This window comes from Homo sapiens, chromosome 11 (genome assembly GCF_000001405.40).
Source record: "Homo sapiens chromosome 11, GRCh38.p14 Primary Assembly".
NCBI lineage: Eukaryota > Metazoa > Chordata > Mammalia > Primates > Hominidae > Homo > Homo sapiens.
In genome coordinates, this window is record NC_000011.10 from 43,552,710 (window position 1) to 43,564,844 (window position 12,135).

General features: G+C 44.9%; 1 protein-coding gene and 1 non-coding gene across 3 annotated transcripts in view; both read left to right on the forward strand.

Annotated features, from left to right (window-relative positions):
• Positions 1-4,011: 4,011 nt before the first annotated feature.
• The window catches only part of HSD17B12 (hydroxysteroid 17-beta dehydrogenase 12), a 299,895-nt gene continuing 291,771 nt past the window's right edge, over positions 4,012-12,135 (forward strand). For both annotated transcript variants that reach the window (XM_024448573.2, XM_047427074.1), the window contains exon 1: positions 4,012-4,252. The gene's annotated coding sequence lies outside the window, so the exon portion shown is untranslated. The remainder of the gene's footprint in view (positions 4,253-12,135) is intronic.
• Positions 6,947-7,044, forward strand: MIR670 (microRNA 670). Its single transcript, NR_031577.1, has one exon. It is a non-coding gene; the product is annotated as a microRNA 670 (primary transcript).

The window sequence follows — 12,135 nt, forward strand, 5'->3', positions numbered from 1 at the left end:
TATAATTCTTATTATTTTCATTTTACAGAGGAGGAAACTGAGGCTTAGAGAAATTAAGTAATTTGCCCATGATCACAAAGCTGGTAAACAGCTAAGTGGAAGGCCCACTTCCAGAGCTTTCCTTACCTGCTAGTGAGCAATCTCTCCAGCAGCATCTATTCTTTAATTTCATGTTCTGAACTGAAAAAGCCCCCACAGCCTTGTTTTATGTCAATAAACACTACTTACCCAGCATTCTGATGGGAGATTTTTTTTTTTTTTTTAGGTTGCCGGTAGGCACCACTGAGGCAAATGGACTGTTGTCCTGTTAAGAGTTCCACAGACCTAGAGAGTCTGGGAATCACGGGTCTCAATGTATTCACACTAGTCCAGAACTTGAAGAGACCTGGAACTGCAGCTGCTCGGGGGCCACCTGACAGAAGCTGTGGTTTTCACAGAAGGACACAGCCACAGACAGCCCATAGCTTGGCAGGGAGGAAGGTGGGGAATAAATACCCTGCCATGCCTTCCTCCCATCTTTGGATTTCCCTCTCAGGGCCCCCATTGGCTGAACCAGGGATCAGGAGAGTCTGTTAATGCAGTCCCTAGAGGTCAACCTCTCAGAACAGAGTGGAGTGAGTGCAGCGTGGATATGGAGGGCAAATGCACAGCCCCCCCGCTTACCATCCTCAGCACCAGTACAGATTAACACGAATTCCCAAGGCCTTCGAATGCCAAGCCTTGGCTGCCGCAGTACCTCACAGCTCACCACAACTCTCACCTCTCCCTTGAGGACAACATCTGAACGGGCCAGGTGGGGCATTGTGCAGGCTTGGGCCACACTGCAAGCCCCTCCCTTGGCCCTGTCTTTATTCACTGGGCTGCCAAGTGAGGAAAACCAGGCCAGAAAAAGAACCAGCCCCCCTCATCCACCTAGGCATTTGCAGCTCTGCCAGCACTTCGGCATCTTGTCCGTGATCTAATCATGCACGAGGTCAGGGGGTTTTTATACAGTCTAGGGATTTGACTGTGAATGGCAGAAATTTCTTCCTACCAGGATTTTGCACGCTTCCGAGCTGAAACCTCCTGGAGCAAGGAAGCAGGGCAAAGTGTGTGTGTGTGTGTGTGTGTGTGTGTGTGTGTGTGTGTGTGTGTGTGTGTGTGTGTCAGGGGAGAGGGGCAGAATAAAGGCATGTTCTAAAGGCATGTTCCTGCTCTTCATACTTACCCAGCCTTTATAGGCAAATGTGTGGCTGCAGTTGTGGCTGAAATATGAATGAATGTGGTGGTGTGCAGGTGCATGAATGACTGTAAGTTTCTGTGAATGAATGTATTTGTGATGAAGAGTGCATGGGAGCCCCTGCAAGCCGGGGTAGTGGTTTGCAGGTGCCTGGCTGGCTGGCTGGAAGCATCCACTGATCAGTATCTTTACCAAAGTCTATAAGTGTTGGGTTGAGGAGGGAGGAGGGGAATACTCTGTTTTCTCATAGCACCTCCCTTTTGCTGCTGCCACTGCTGCGTAGCAGCATGAACCGTTGGCAATTGCCTTGTCCTCCCTGAAGCCCCAGAGAAGAAAGTCGGGGGAAAGACAAGCAAAAGCATGTGGTCAGTCTGTCGTCAGTTGACGGCTCCTCCAGACACCAAGAATTGTCCTTAGATAAACTCTAGTCACAGAGCCTCCTGACTAGCCCGTGGGGCTGAACAAGGGGCAGATGAGTGGTAGCTCAGGTTAGATTTTCTCTGACCTCTACTCCCCTGACCTACTAGCCTGGTCAGGCAGAATTATTCATATTCTGCCTTTATCTGAAATGTTGAGATTAATAAGACCGTCTTCTCTTCTATCTCCCAGCCAGATTTGGGGGAATGAAAGGAGGGGCCGCATTCGTTTAGGAAGTAGTGATAAGCAAAAATGACTGGGTAGTTACCAATTGAAAACCTGACTTCATGAGCATATCAAAAAAAAAAAAGTTAAGGGCCACTTAATTTTAAATCATATGATTTAAATCCATTTTGGGTTCCTCTTCTCCCCCACTCAAGGTCCCCCGTAGTTTTTGTCATCCAAGTGGCCTCTGTGAGGGCCCCTGCACACGATGGCCCCAAATAGTCCCCTCATTAACAGTCTCAGCAGAGGCCAAAGACTGAATAGGTCAGAGAAACCAAATTCTTCTATCATCCGGAGGCCCAAGAGAACCTATCTGAGGAGGGCAAGTGAGGGAGGGAGGGCTGAGAAGCAAGAAATGTGGGAAATGAAGACTTTACAAAACTATTGTAAATTGCCTCCTCTGAAAATAGAAAAATCCAACATTCCCCAACCACCCCCTCTCCAACAAATACTTTGAAAGTGGCGAATCTCACCCACTTTGCTTCCATGGGGAGGCACTCTGTATTCACATACATAATCCATAGGTATTTATAAAAATGTATAATTGTGAAATGGACCAATGAAAACTGTATTGTTAGCTAAGTGAAGAGGGCAGTTGTCCCCCCCCCATAAAAGGCAGATGTTTAAATAAATGCAGATTTTAATAATACAATATCATTATCAGATTGCATACTTAGGTCCCCCAGATGAAACCTAAGCCTGTTTTCGTGGGCTGCTGTGCCTTTTCTGCCAAGCAGCTGTGAGAAGGAATGAACATCCCAGAATCCTTGCTTATGAATGCACTGTCTTCGCTGAGTTTGAATGTACTAGTGCTTCATGTTTGTGTGAATGGGGGTTGCATGTGCTGGTCAGAAGCCACATGAGACACATGGTTGGGGGGCGGGGAATTATGTCTTTAAAAAATGAATTGGAAAAAATGAAATGGAATGTGTGAATGGCATAAATGGAGCCCATGGCACCTTCTCTTTTTTATTACCCACCACCACAATAGGGCCCACCTGTTTCATTAAAATTAATTCCTGGCTTTGCAAATATCAATAGATCAATACCTGTACTTATGTTCCACCCTTCACTGGGACCAGACTGCTAAAAACAGAGAGCTGCAACACAAAAGATACCGCAGTCAGCTCAAGCAGGGGGTTATTTTTAGATCAGAAAAACGAAGGGAAAGAAAAAAAACAGAGGCAGTTCTGGGTTTTGCAATCTAATTTGGTCCCTTTTCTTAAGGAAAAAAAAATCCCATCAATGGCATTTTCCATACAATCTGATTTCCATTTGGCTCCTAGAAAAAGAAGAAGAGATCTAGGGCTGAAAATTCTGGAGTTTTATGGCTGATTCCAGCTAGTATCCTTTCTTCACCAGGCTCCAACTGAATTAATTTGATACTATTTTTGAAAGTCAGTGTTTCTAAGGGAGACCTAATGACGCACTGACGTCAATGCAGGTCAATAGCACACACTGCTGGAACTGGGCGTGCTACACCGAGCCAGGGCTGGAGCCTTTTCAAACAGCCCCAACTCTGCAAATATCCCAGCTTTGCAGGGGGAAAAAAGCCAGGGTTTTGTAAGCATTGAGACCCCCACCATTTTTCCCGAACACCTTCAAAATTGATGCATGCTTTCTAGATGCAAAAAAAGAAAGAAGAAAATCCAAACAGATATAATCAGACGCACTGCAGTGCAAAAAAAAAAAAAAAAAAAATCATACCTGTCAAAGGAACCGTATGTAATCCGTGCACACACACACATTTCACATTTACGTTCAGAATGCAATACATATCATTAGGATCTGTCTATAAATAGACTCGAGCGTGTGTGCATCGGGACTTAGTCCCAAACTGGGTTTTCAAACGTGGGTGATGAGTTCTTTGCTCTGATCAGTTACTCAGAAGGTGCCTGAATGTGTGGGGGTGGGAGCGTGGGAGGGGGCTGCCTCCTCTTTCTCCTCCTTCCCTTTGGCTCTCCCCCTCCTTTCTTCTCCCTCCCTCCCTCCCTCTACCCTCACCTCCCCTCTCCTCTCCCTGTATCCCTCTCTCATTTCCTCTTTCTTTCTCTTCTTCTCCCTCTCTCCTTCAGCATCCCCCCACCCTCTTTTTCTCTCTCCCCCTCCCTCTCACCCCCTCTCTCTCTCCCCCACCCTCTCTCTTCTCCCTCTCCCTCCAAGTCTGGCACTGAACGCGAACTGTTTTGCTTTGCTCTGGGAAGAGTGCAGACACATAACGTGAAATCCCGAGCTTTTTGCGTGGTGCATTTAAAATGCTTCCTTGTTTATATTACCCTCATTCCCTCACCTCCCCCACCCCCTCACCAGTCCTTCCAAATTTCCCTAGAAATCTATGTAAAGCATGCGGAGGGGAAAACATTTGCACAAAAAGTGAAGGAGCTCGCCAAGGTAGGTTATACCATGCACTGTCTTGTGTTTGGCTTTTGCAAAGTTTATGATGTCAGTTGGTGAATGTTTGGAGGAGTAGATTTGTATGACTGACCATGATTACTGTCTTTTTCATTGAACAATTATCTTTGTACAAATTGCCTAGACTTCTTGGGCAGGCTTTCCTGGGGTCTTGTATGTGTGGTTTTTGCAGGAGGCATGCCAGCTGGAAGACAGTCCTCTGTTGTTAAGCTGGGTAGGGGACGCCGTCTTGGCTTCCCCCACCCTAGTGTTCTGTGGTTTGGGGGTGGAGGGTGGAGAAGTATTCTGTAGTGGGCATGTGCTTCTGCCACTTGGCCATATCTTGGATTGATTCTCATTCACTGAGTGTCTTAATTCTTGTAATTATTTTGCACGTGAAAATTTAGTTCCAAAAAGGCTTCATGAAGTCAGAGAAAAGTGGGGAGAGTCAGAGAGAGAAAGAATCACGGTATGGTGGTGGTGATGGGAGCGGTAATATGTCTTGCATAGAGAACTTAATGTTCTCCCACTTTTTGGAGAAAATGCTAAGTCTTTAGTGGGTGTAAGCAAAATAATTTTTGTTTAAAACCTTATTCGTGGGTAAAATGAAATTTAAAATAAATGTTTCCGTTGCAAGAGCAAAAACTGCTACAGCTCACAACCACCTGTAGAGGGAAATCTTTATGCATGATATCTTAAGGGCTGGTTGTGTAGAGGAAAACCGCCTGAAAAGGCTCCTGACAAAGTTTGCAGCAGGAAAGACAAGAGATACTGAGCCCTGCAGGGTGAAGGGTTAAAACTCGGGGGCGGCAGAGAAGGAGGGAACGGCTGGAGCTCAGCCAGGGTCTGTCAGTCTGGGGACTTACAGGGTTGGCCTTCCTGCTTTGAGGGGCTGGTGCTGTAACGGGGGGGAGCCTGAGGTGGAGAAGCTAAATGGGGCAGGGGCTTGCAGAATACTTGTGTGTCGTGGAAGGAGGGGCGTTCTATGAGGTCAGAGATCGTATGGTGCTTGGGGCCATGTGACGATAGGGAGGTCACAGGCCAGTTTTTCCGTTGGGTTCTGGTCCTCCCAGTTCCTCCCTGCTGCTGCACAAAGCGAGGTGGTTATCAACAAGTGTTTCTCCTGAGAAGATTAGTTTTGACAGGGACTTCAAGGGGTTTTTTAATCTGGGTAAATCCACCAGGGCTTTATTGTGTGTAGCAAAGAGAGTCATTCTTTGTTAGGAAGGAGCTTGGGGAAGAGAGGTGGAGGGGTGGAGAGAGGGGGCTTTTGAACATCAGCCATTTGACCTTGGGGGCCAGAGTTCAAATCCCCCAGAGGTCTGAAAAGGTTGAAAAGATATCATTATCCCTTCTCCCTCCCCCGCGTCTTTCACCCAGAGCTTTATGTTTAACGGGGAAAATCCAGCGCCTGGTGTTGGCCAAACCTCATCAATGGGAATTCCATGTGTCTGAGAGCAGGATTTTTTTTTTCATCGAGGGAAGCAGGCAGCACTCTCAGCTGTAGTACTGTACATTTTTTTCCCCCTGCAAATCATCTTCTAGGAAAGCTGAATCACCTCCACTCTGAAGAGCAGCCACTTCTGGGAGGTGGAACACAGGGGGAGGAGGGAATACCCCCTCCTCCATGGTCCTTAAATATCCGTGTGGGGGCACTACTTGAATGTCTGGTTCAGATGAGCCTGGAAATATGACGAGGGTTCTTTGGACTGGGCTGGTAGTTGAGAAGACCATCTGAGCGGGGATGTAATTCTGAAGGAGTAAGGTAGTGGCTTTTTCTTTTGCGCTGGGGGTGCGGGGGCGGAGGGGTGCAGCTGGCTGGGTCATCAAATTAACATGAGAAGGGAATCGTTTTCAGCAGGGAAGTAGGAGATTTGGGGAGGGTGCTTGGAAGATAGAATCAGCATGCTATTGCCACCCCCCACCCCAAATAACCAAAAGGCAAGGAGTACAGACATAGAAATGGGAAGTGAAATGTTGGTATAGACTGTGATTAAGCCTGCTGTTGGTATGAAGTGCTGTCTCACTAAATAAAGCAGAGTGGATGGTGGCTGCATCCCTGGATCTGCCGGTGTGAAGTAAAACCAGGTCAGCTGGCCTGACACCCACTGTCCATATCACTGAAGGTCCTGCTCCAAGAAGGGGGATGGAGAGTCTTCCACAGCCCGGAAAGCATCAGGTTTCTTTGTGTTGCACTTCTCAGAAGGAAATTGTTTCTGTTTATTGCTTAAGTCAACAAGTATTTGTCTCCCTTTGATATAAATGCTGTGGGGGAAGTGGTTACAAGAAAAAAAAATCTGGTCCTGGAATTATAGCCATCTGCTCTCCACAGTCCTCCAAGACTGTCAGTATCTCTCTTTACTCTGAGCTGTGGTCTTCTAGGGACCAAGTTCCAGAAGAATAGCACCTAAAAAGTATTTCATGTCCATCAGCCTTCCCCGGAGATCCATGGAAAGACCACCTCTCTCAGGTTCTACCAGGTGCCCAAGCACTTGTCACATGCAGACATGTATGTGCAGTGTACATGCACATATATGTGCAAAAACCACAACAGTATGCATGTGGGTACCCAGGGTTCTCTCCACATGAGAACCCACGAGAGCCCACGTCAGCTCATGAGCCACATACACAAGGAAACAGACCTTCTTCCTCTCTGTCAAGTCCGAAGATGCCAGCTGAGACGTTCTTCATCCAGTTTAGGGGTGGACCTGATGTCCCTGAGTGTATGTGGTGAACCTGAATTTGCCTTGGGTTTCCTCATATTCATTCAGGAGTGTCAGTTGCCCCTTCACGCGACGTTGGAGAGCATTACAGCAAGCAGGTGTCTACTCATTTATGGCAAGAATGAAGTCCGACTTTTATCTTCATCACCTTGGATGAGCCCTGGTGCTTGCCCTGTTTCTCAAAAGAAACCTAAGGGCAGGGGCAGAACTGGTTATAGAATTCATGGAACCTGGCACAAAATGAACACGTAGGGCCCCTTGTTCAAAAAGCAGGAAGAAAGTGCCTAAATATAATGCCTTTGTCTTTCTTCCACAATCTCTCTCTAGAATCGTCATGGTGGTTTTTTATTTGCTGTTTTTCATGTGGTGCTAAATAAAAATAAAAATTTTAAATTTTTAGCATGAATTTTACCGTTCATCTTTATATTGTGTGATGCCAGTTGTAAATGTAAACACAAGAGCGTTTAACTCATTTGTAGAATCACTGAAATTACACAATTCACATTTCATATGTCGCATATGCATAGGTATTTCATTCTTACCAGAACAATGGAGATGCTGACAAAATGAACTCCAGTGTTTTTATTTCACTTCTTGATACAAGCGCTTTGTACCAGCACTCTCCACCTTCAGCTTGCTGTTGAGGAGAAATAGCTATGGATTGCTCTATCTTCACCTTTCCTTCTGTGTCAACATTTTCAGCATAGGTGTTTGGCAAATACAGGGAAGGAACATAAGTAAGAAATGCTACTTTAGGGTCCCTTAGGCATTAGTGTTTCTTAGAACTCTATTGCCTTCCTTCTGCATTTGAAGCATCTGGTTCAAACAGAAAGCATGACCTCTGGGCACTGTCTGTGTCCCCCGTCTGTGTAGTCATAGGCTTACTTTCCATTCTACTTGCCCCGAGTCTCACTGAGCTCCCACTGGAATTCTGTACGCATGGGCTACTGCCAACATTGTGGGACAGGAACGATGGATGGGCACACACATTCTCTATTATCCCATAGACTTCACTTACAAAACACGGGTTCAAAGACAAAATTTTTAAGAATTTCAAGACAATAACAGTAGAATCTTAAACCAACCATGGAGCTCTTCTGAGCCAAGGGCCCTGCAACTACACAAGTTGCACGCTCCTGAAGTCAATCCAGGTGGGAGGAAGTAAGAAGTAACCTAGACTTCAGGCTGAGAACCCTATTACTCATCTTCCTTCGTCAAGCGAATAATTGAATCCGCAGCAAAAAAAAACTTGAACGGCCTCCATTTTTGACCCATTGGGACTTTCTTCTCCTCTAAGCAAGTCCCACTCTGTGAAAATCCACCACTTCCTGGTGACGCTATCACAGCTTTGAGGGGAGAATTCATCTGCTGATCTCTTCACTGAAGCCGTGGCTTAGAGCCCAAGCCTTGCAGATGAAGCATGGGTTCCAATCCCCACCCACCACTTTCAAGCTTGGTCCCATCCAGGAGATACCCTGACTGATCTGTACTTAGGTTTCACCACCTGAAAGTAATAAAATATATTTGGTTTGATTCATGAATAATTGTGCTAATTATTTAGTGCTGCTTCTTGTTTGTCTCACAACTGCTCTGAGGTCTGCCCAGGGGTCTCCTGGCCCAGGATGACAAGTTCTCAGAAATTACTTTAGCAATTAATTCAATTGATGTTGCTGTGGAAGAAGCAGGGCTTGATGTTTAAAGGGTCTAGAGGAAGACGGGCCTACATTCCTGATGGACCCAATAAAAAGAGTATTTTTCCTGCCTTCATCAACTGCCTTTTGCTCCTCACCTACTAGGGAGCAAAGCTAGAGGGCATCTTAGAGATGTGAGGTGGACTAGTTTGTAAATAAAATAGCATTAAAAATATATCCAACCTAGAGAATGAAGACTATGGACCCTCCATCGTTGGTTGAGGGACTTTGAGAGTTTTTGAGAGTTGTGTTTTTCAAGCTTAATATAGCTTTCCTTTCTAGCCTGTTCCTTCAAGTGACACAAACACCCTTTTTTTTTGAGAAATATTTAGCTTGGTCTAGGCTACTGACAGTACCTAGAAAGAAAAAGAAAAAGAATTATTCTTGCTTATTATTTTATAAAACCTTTACTAGACTTGGAGACTGCTGCAGCGACAGTCCAGTTAGTGGACTGGAAGACCAATCAATGAATAATGATTGACTGTTTACAAATGAGCCTAGCACGGTGCTTGACCCATGGTGGGTGTTTAATAAATGTTAGCTGACTCAGAGTATGTCTCATTATTGTGGCACTATGTTATAGTGAAAGAGCTATGAATTTGGCATCAAACCACATAGGTTCAAGCAACCATGTGGATGTATGCTCTTGGGCAAATTATTTCGCTTCTTCGTAAACTGCTTATCATACCTAAACAATGGGAGTATTCACATTATAATAGCTACCCCACACAGTTATTTTGAGAATGAAATCAGAAGTGAGTTGGCTCATTTTAAAGCACTCTAGATAAGTAAGTGATACATGTGTTTCTGTAATATGTGTGTGCACAAAGGCAGATATTAAAAATTTTTTTAAATCCTGCCTTTTTCTCTTTCCCATCTCACTCAGCAATAGGAGTAGGCATAGGTCTCTGATAGGCTGGATGGCATCCTGAGTACAGTGTAACTGTGGATAGTTTAGGCTTTGCAGCCAAGAAGGCGTGCATTCAAATCTTTCTTAGCTCTTATATGTGGTTGGTTATGTGACTTTTGATAAGTTATTTAAACTCTCTAAGCCTCAGTTTCTTGACATTTAAAATGGGGACCTACCTCAAAAAGTTATTGTGACGATTCATTGAGTTGATATTTGCAAGGCTTGGCTCAGTGCCTGGCACATACCAAATGTCTATCACTTTTATTTTTTATTATTATTTTAGCTATTATACCTCTGGACCAGGGAAGCATCAGAAAAATGACTTGGGAACATCTTATGAGGCATGGTGTGGGATGGCATTTCTACCATATGCTTTTTCTTGCTTGGGTAGATTCTTCCTTTTCTGAAATTAGCAGAGACCTCTTAGACTCTTCCACATACACAAGGTAAAGTCTATCTTCCCTATACTTTACTGAAAGCCATTGGCCCTACCAAGCAAGGGACAGGCCTAGGCAACTTCCCTGGAGCTTTCACTTCAACTAGGAACTCAACTCTTTTGTCCCAGAAGTTCCCAACTTCAGGTAAGGAGAAAGGGACTCAGTCAATGCATAGCACAGATCTGGACCTCAAGTGTGGGTGGGAGAAGATCATCTGCATTTGACTCACAGAAGCCTAGAGGGAAGACTTGAGTCTTCCCTCAGCTGAAGTAGATGTTCCAAGTCCTCCTTGAATGCTGTGAGAGCCCCTCAGTGATTCTCTGGAGGCAGGTATCACTATCTACTCCTCACCCAGGTCTTGTATTGCCATGACTTCATCTCCTAGTGGAGGACAGAAGAAAGTAATCCCTTACCTAGCCCCTACGGACTTATTAAAATTGGGAACTCAACACGAACTTCTGTATGGCCCATTATGGAAGGCCATACACTAGATTCTCAGGATCCAGTGATAACTAAAACATGGATGCTGCTTGCCATTGTAGCACTCGTAGTCCAGAGATGAGAGAGGCTTTTAAAAGTCCACATTCTCCTTTGGGTAGGACCCTTACCAATCCTGGGTTGTTATGCAATGATAAAGCCCTCGCCTGAACAATAAGCCACCATAGGCTTCTGTTTCCTATTCCAAATTTATCTGCTCAGTGTCCCATTCTGTTAAGAATTCTTTCACCCATGAGTTGATGTGAATGTGTTAATTGGTGTGGAAGTACCAGTCGTGAAAGAACAAGTTCCATCTATTAAGATCCATATTTTGGCCAGATGCAGTGGCTCACCACTGTAATCCTAGCACCTTGGGAGGCCAAGGTGGGAGGATCGCTTGAGCCCAGGAGTTCGAGACCAGCCTGAGCAACAAGGCAAGAACTCATCTCTACTAAATTTTTTTTTCTAATTAGCCAGGCATGGTGGTACATGCCTGTAGACCCAGCTACTCTGGAGGCTGAGGCAGGAGGATGGCTTGAGCCTGGGAATTCGAGCTTGCAGTGAGCTATGATCGTGCCACTGCACTCCAACATGGGTGACAGAGCAAGATCCTGTCTTTAAAAAATAAGATCCAGAGAGTTTTAGTCCCAGTGGTCATTAGTAATATTTAGTGAGAAGAACAGCCTTCTTTTATGTTTTACTGCAATACATTCTTTTTTTTTCTTTTTTTTTAGAGATGAGGTCTTGCTCTGTCACCCAGGCTGGCATGCAATGGCACAATCATCGCTCACTACAGCCTCGAAAGATAGGTGCACGCCACCATGCCTGGCTATTTTTATTTTTTGCTATGTTGTCCAGGCTATTCTCAAGCTCCTAGACTGAAGTGATCCTCCTGCCTTGGCCTCCCAAAGTGCTGGGATTACAAGTGTGCACCACCGTGCCTGGCCCAATTCATTCCATTAGGAGCCCATGGGCTGATTATTTTAGAGTGTATGGGTCCTAGAACTATAGGACTTACCCTGACCACCACATCTTGAGTATTAATAACCAGAGAGCCAGAGAAGACCTGCTCTGCAGGGAGTAGCCTCATCCTAGCCTCAGGTCTGGGGCAGGATTGAGGATTCCAATTCACTACAAAGGTTATTTGCTTCTACATACTTCTCTATATTTGCATAGATTTGGGAAATGATATAAGGGACAAGGGAAGATCAAAATAGCCACTTCATTCCCTGAAAACTCCTACTTTAGCCACTTCCCCAAAGCTAGAGGGTTTTTCCTACTCTACATTAACTTGCTAGTTTATAAGCTCTCAGATTTTTTAAAGCTTAATCACTTATATCGTGTAAGTTGCAGCATGATGAAGGCTGGTCACTGCTGAGGGGTTGATGCATTCCTACCAGGGCTTGGAAGCAAATTGGACCACAAATCCCTAACCAGAATGAACCTTTCATATGCATGGGCCCCAGATCTTTTCAAAACATTAACAATTCTCTTGAGTTACAATCCAGATCAAAGTTGTTTTGACTTGTAATTTAATATACTATTTTAAACCAATTGGAACCCATATATTTGCTAATACTGGTGGCCCAGAGCAGCAAGTTATTCCATTAATGAAAACATTTGGTAATAGCTCTAGAGATGATAG